This window comes from Homo sapiens, chromosome 11 (genome assembly GCF_000001405.40).
Source record: "Homo sapiens chromosome 11, GRCh38.p14 Primary Assembly".
Classification (NCBI taxonomy): domain Eukaryota; kingdom Metazoa; phylum Chordata; class Mammalia; order Primates; family Hominidae; genus Homo; species Homo sapiens.
In genome coordinates, this window is record NC_000011.10 from 125,785,184 (window position 1) to 125,791,946 (window position 6,763).

The 6,763-nt window shown below is 40.8% G+C and overlaps 1 protein-coding gene across 1 annotated transcript; it reads left to right on the forward strand.

The window, feature by feature from the left end:
- Nucleotides 1-2,943: 2,943 nt before the first annotated feature.
- Nucleotides 2,944-6,417, forward strand: PATE3 (prostate and testis expressed 3). The gene is made up of 3 exons (NM_001129883.4): nt 2,944-3,017; nt 4,203-4,325; nt 5,295-6,417. Exons 1-3 carry the CDS (start codon nt 2,969-2,971, stop codon nt 5,417-5,419), a joined length of 297 nt encoding a protein of 98 aa, NP_001123355.3. The 5' UTR covers nt 2,944-2,968; the 3' UTR covers nt 5,420-6,417.
- The last annotated feature ends 346 nt before the right edge of the window (nt 6,418-6,763 follow it).

Here is a 6,763-nt window from a genome sequence, read left to right on the forward strand (position 1 = left end):
ACATCAATTAGAAGTTAATAAAAAATAAAAATATACATTTATCTATTAGAGTTCATGGACTCCATGAAACTAAGAGGACACTAAACCCATAATGGTAAACCTTGCTCAGGAATGGAGGTAAGGAGCTAACAAAAATCTGATACTTGAAAGTATAAAATCAGTCCATAAATGTTCTGAAAGAGCTTTTTGCAACTTTTTATTATTCATTGTGATTTTTCATCTGAAGCATCATATTAAGAGCAATGTGGTGAATGAAACGTGAATTTTTGTGACACTGATCTAGGCTTGAACCCCAGCTTTGCTCCTTGATATACACTTCACCACCATGTTGTCACCAGGGCTCCATGAGACAATCTACATAGAAGGGCCCAGCCTTGTGCATGGCACATAGTAAGCATTCAATACATGTTGGTTTTGTTTCTTTTTCCTTCACCTCACTCTCCACCAGCAACTGGAGGTAGGAAGGGCTGGATGTATACTCTAGGTGTTTTTCCTGGGCCCTGCAAGTAGGCACTCCTCCACTAGATATTTTTAAAGGGCCATTATCTCCTGCTCTGTTCCTCGTATACACTCTGAAAAACCAATGCTGCCCCTGGGAACCCAGGAACAAAGCAGCCTGATCCCTGACTCTATGCCAAAGTCCATTTCCCTAAAATAAAAGGCAGCACTTAGAAAGACAAGTTCACGGGACTGCTCATCTGTGCTATCACCAAGATCTCAGTCACCCACCCTGGAGCCAAGAGAGCCAAGAAAGACCATGAACATGAAGACACGATGTTCTCGTTCCTCCTCCTCAGAGCAGAACAAAGAGCATCTATTCAGAGTGGAGGGCTTTCTAGGCATGGGGGCACATCAATTTGGGTGCTGTGGCCAATGACAGTGGCATCACAGGTAGTGGTATCATGTGCCAAGCAGAGTGCTAGGAACTTCAGAATAACAGAACCTGCTACCCATTTTCATGACGTATGTCGTGGAACCACAGAATGTTAAAGTTCTAAAGGGCCCTTAAAATGATTAAAATCTGATATTACAGATAAACGATTTGCTGAAGACATAATGAGTTATCTAGTGATCAGGCACAGGTCTCCAGACTCTCAGGAAAATGCTATTTCCATTATGCCACACTACCTCTATTAATAGTTTCTAACACCTTCTTCTCTCCTACCCCATGATAAATGAAGAAAGAAATTATTTTCAAGAGAAAATGTGATGGATGAGGTACTGTGGGAGGCTGAGAAGTAGGTCAGAGGACTCCAACATTTGGGTAGAGTTGCAAAATTCTACAATCTTAACTGGAAATAATCAGTACAATGGAGATTCAAAACACAATTGGCCTTTCAGAAGGCATCTGCCAAGGAGAACCTTGAAGGAAGAAGAAAAAAACTCCACCACAGTTTAACCTAGAATGTCTGCTTCTTTTGCTCTGATTCTAGTGCTGCTCCCTCTCTCTATTTTCTTATGTTTTATATTTATTTTTATAGATTCAGGGAGTGCATACATAGGCTTATTATGTGGACAGATAGTCAAATGGTAAAGTTTGGGCATCTAGTGCACCCATCACCTGAAGAGTGAACATTATACCCAGCAGGTAATTTTTAAATAGAGGATAAAGCAGAGGAAACAAGTGACAAATGAAATACCCTAATAACTTGGTAAGTCCAGGCTGCAAAGGCTCAGAAGTTTGTCTTCTTGATAAGCCTGGGAATGTTCTCAAAAATGCTATCCAGTGTTCAACACCCTCTTCTAAAATATGGCAGAGTAGAAAACTAGATCCAAAGGCCTCACAACCTTACTCTCCATTCTGGAATCTATTATTTCAAAGGAACCAGCTCCCTCATGTGTAAGTGTCTAAGACTTCTTGCTCTCTTCTTAGGCAAAGGTGGGCTCCGTATTCTGTTTGTTCATAGAGAAGAAACATTGTAAATTTTGTGACACTTAACATAAGATCATATTTTACCCAATCTTCATCTGATGTCTAAAAAATGTCAGACTCAATATATTTCAATGATCATATCATTCCTACAACTAAAGAACATGTTGTTAAATCAGTTTAATATGGAATACTTCTAGTATCTCTAACCAAGCACCATCAGCCATTGGGCTGGTGGTTTAGGAGACTTAGAATGCCAGGAGTGGTCATGGTTTTCTAGTACTTTACCCATAGTGAATCTTAACTGAGTTAGCTTTCATAAAGATAGACATCTAAATCATGAACAAAAAACTAGCCAGATTCAAAATATAAATTTGCTAAAGATCAAGTCATGGAATAATTCTAGAGAGGATTTAATGGCTCTACAAAGTAAACAGTCGCTGGCCTTGAAGGACAGATTTCTTGTAAGTAGAAGAGTTCTCGACTGAGAATCAAACGTTCTAGTGGAAGGTCAAGCTTGGTCACAGACTATATATCTTTTCCTCTCTCACTCTCTGGTTTCTTACCCATAATGTGAGGAGCCAGGTGAGCTTGTCTGCCTTATTCATTGCTTGGTCTTACTCATGTAACTGTGTTGTATATACAATTTCTCAACAAATATTTGTTGAATGTATGAATAAATCTCAGAGAGGCATTGAATCACGGTGGTGAAACGTGGACTCTAGAATTAGGAAGTCATACTTTGAGTAACAGCACTATCTCACTGGATATGTGACCTGGGGTAAGCTTCTGGAACCTCAACAAGCCTCAGTTTCCTCCTCTTGAAATTGGGATAAGAATAATAATATCAAAAGTATATGTTTTTAAAAAGGTTAGCTCCATGCAAACCTCAACATTTATTAATTTTCTTTTTTCTCTGCCTTGAGGAGGACAGCCAATGAACTTGAGCTCCAAGAGGAAACCTTGTGTGACAGGCTCTCCCTAGGCATGAATAATCACTAGCCTCTGACGAAGAAGAAAGTTTTCTCTCTGGAGCCTAAAGACCTGTGCTTGCAGCCCCTAGCTTCTTTTTCCTGCACAAGGGATTTCCGGGTCAGGATGAACAAACACTTCTTGTTCCTCTTCCTCCTTTACTGCCTCATTGTGGGTGAGTCCTGGACCTGAGGGGTATACTTGAGAGACAGGATCTAGGGAGCTCCAGGGAAACTACATGTGTAGCATGCATCCATGCAGGGCTGAGCTTTGGCCACTTTTATGAGCCAGGGGAAGCCAGCCTCCAGAATGCTCCTCTGCCTTCCCTGACAACTCTTCCATCCTTTTCAGCCTCCTGCCATTCTCCTCCAGATGGGCAGGCCTCTGTCCTGCCCTTTTAACTCATTTTCTCCCTCTGTCCCTACCATTCCCCATAATCCCAAGCCCTGGCAAGATTTTCCTTAGGACATCCTTTTTATTTGTAAACCTATATCCCATTTGTTGATGGAGCTGGTCAGTCTATAATGAATAATTTTCAGTTTATTTTAGGAGTGAACAATGGCTTTTGATACCCTTTTCAGAGACTTTATATTACAACAAGTAATTCTATGAGAGGAAGTACTGAATGCTCTGGAATCAGACAGATTTTTTTCATGGTTTGTAGTCACGGTCTCAAAATCTCTGTACCTTTGGTTGCTCATTCAAGAAATGGGGACAATGGTGCCTGCTTACAAGGCTTTTGCGAGGATTAAATCGGATGCAACTTGAGAGAACATGGCCCAAATGGGATGCTCAATCATTGCTACTTTCCTTTCTCATTCAGGTGCACTAGGGAAATTTTTTTAAATTAAACCTGTATTTTGAATAGCTCACCCCGCAGAACCTCATAAAAGTGTCACTTATGGTACTATTATTGATGATGCCTTTATGTAGATTCAGATTGAAGCTCAAAAGAACAGAATATATCACCTAACAATAGTAACAATAGCTTTGGTGAAATGTTTTAAAGCCCTCACCCTCCTTATCACACCCATATCTCTAGTAGGCCAGGCTAGCATTCATAGCACCATTTTTAAGCTAGAGAAGTCAATGACATGGAGGCTAACTTTTTGCTTAAAGTTATCCAGGTTAAAAGGGCTGAAGGTGGGGTCAGAATCCTTTGGTGACATTTTCTTTTTATTACTCTGAAATGAGGAGTTGATAAGAGCTCCAACTGTTTACCGCCTAAATACCCCAACCAGTAGCTCTTCATCTGCCTGCCCCCTCCACTATTCATTCCCCACCTCCATCTGAATATTTCTAACTCCATCCCAAGTCCCTGCTTTTGCCTAGTCTCACACCATCTCTATGCTCTCTCCAGCAGTGACATCACTTCAGTGCATAACATGCCACCTTCGCACACGGACAGACCGCTGTAGAAGAGGCTTTGGTGTCTGTACTGCTCAGAAGGGCGAGGCATGCATGCTCTTAAGGATTTACCAGCGTAAGTTAGAGGGTCAGGGAAGGTGTTGTAAGATTCTTAGAATTCTTAGGATAGTGCTTCAGCAATTTCACATCTCAAGAGAAGAACCAATGCAGAATGCCCCTGAGCACAGGTGGTAGCACAGGTCCCTGTGCATACAGACAGAAGATAATTTGGGTCAATGAGACAGGAGGGAGAACTTGGGGATTCTATATTTCCAAGAAAACTGACCAAACAGATTTTTTTTTGATAATCGACACATAACAATTGTTCATATTTATGAGTATATGTGATTTTTCATACAAGCCTTCAATGTGTAATGATCAAATCAGGGTAACTGGATATTCATCACCTCAAACATTTATCATTTCTTTGTATTGAGAACATTCTATATGTTCTCTTCTAGCTATTTTGAAATATACAATAAAGAAAATATGGTATATACACACAATAGAATATTATTCAACCATAAAAATAAATGAAATTCTGTCCTTTGCAGAAACAGAGGTGAGCCTGGAGGTCATTATATTAAATGAAATAAGCCAGGCCCAGAAAGACAAATATCCCATGTTCTTAATCATGTATAGGAGCTAAAGAATAAGTTAATGTCATGGAGGTAGAGACTAGAGTGGTGGTTACCAAAGGCTGAGAAGAGTGGTGGAAGGAGAGGATGAAGACAGTCTGGTTAATGACTAAACAGATTTTGACTTTGAAGACACTAAATCACTAGTTGCTAATCTTCTAGCAAGAGAGAAAAATGAAGCAGCTACATAGAGTTGAGGATTTTCAGGGACCTCAGGCAAACAAGCCCTGCAGCTGATCAGTGGCCTCTGTATCTCCCTGCCTGGGTGCTTTTAGGGAGTATAAGCTGGGAAGCCATTCCTCAACCTACCCTAATTAAATTTTCACCAACAGAACTAGTGCTGGGTTTGACTCACCTTGGAGAGCTTAAATCAAATGCTTATTTTCTGTGGTTCTTTCCTATTTTAGGCAATACTCTCCAGATATCATACATGGTGTGTCAGAAATTCTGCAGAGACATGACATTTGATCTCAGGAATCGGACTTATGTTCATACATGCTGCAACTACAATTACTGTAACTTTAAACTCTAAGATATTTGCCCTCCTGAGGTCTCGCTTTGGAATGTCCCCAATGTTGCTCATCCTTCACACTCTGCTGGCCCTTGCTTCCCTTCCGTGTCTGTCCTGACAATACCCCTGCCCTCGCATTAACCTAAGAAGACTAAACTAGTGTGATCCTTTCTGGTGTCTTCAGCTTGGCTTCTCCCTCAGTCAGAGAATAGTGGTTCTGAACAATGGATTTCTTCTATTATTGGGATTATTGGCATGGCCATATTCCAAGAAACCTGCCCCAAGAGTTCCTGTACAGTAAAATTTAAAGCAGGAACATTCTAGAATCTTAATTTGCTTAACTAGTTCAGGTACACTAGAAAGCCTTCAGCTAAAAATTCACAATATTTTTATCTAAAATTCCCATGTATCCGGAGAATGACTAAGCAGAAATAGCAATTAAATGGATGATGGATACTGAAGATTTTTCTCTACGGACACCAAGTTATTTCTACCAGCAGGCAGTGCCCACTTCAAACTCAACCATTGTGATTTTCTTGGCATTTACAAACTACATCCTTACACTGTTATTAGGAGATAGCAAACAAGGATCTTCCCGGCCTCTGTGACATTCACCGAGCTCTCACACAGCCACTGCTACTCCTATCGAGATGTACATTCAAGGTACATCAGAACTCTCATTTCTTCCCCTTCCTTTCCTAAACCTTCTCTCTTCCTTTCCCCCTTTGCCATTCACCTTTACTATCACCTCCCACCTCCATTATCACCTCCCCATTGCCACACAACCTCTCCCTGTAGAGAGGCAGGAGGTCCTTCGAAGCTTTGCCCCATGCGTCAGATGGCACCTGAGGCATATAACCTAGGGTGGGCTGCCTTTCAGGATCCGTCATCAAAGGGAGTCAAACATAGTCAAGATACCATCTACCCTGTACAGCTTTCTTGAGACTTGGGGGCCTGGGTCAAAGAGATTTGTCTGTCCCTTGCTGCCCATCTTTAAGTAATAAACCGACTTCACATAACTTGTTGTGTGTTGGTGTGTTCTGTCTCATTGAACTCAGACAAATAGGTAACTAAAGCGTGATGGACCTAAATAGTAGCCCAAGATATAGTGGGACTCCTGTTTCTGGTGATGGGCAGAGTGCTGATTACTGTTATTCTCCAGGAAGTGGGAGTCCTTGCTTGGGATTGGCAATTAGCATTGCACTTCTATATTCATGAAATAATTGTAACTGTTCTGGAACTTATTATAAATGAAATCACACAGAAACTATTCACTTAAACCTGGTTTCTTTTACCCACCATAATACTGTTTTAATTTTTAAATTTTTAATTTTTGTAGGTACATAGTTGGTGTACGTATTTATG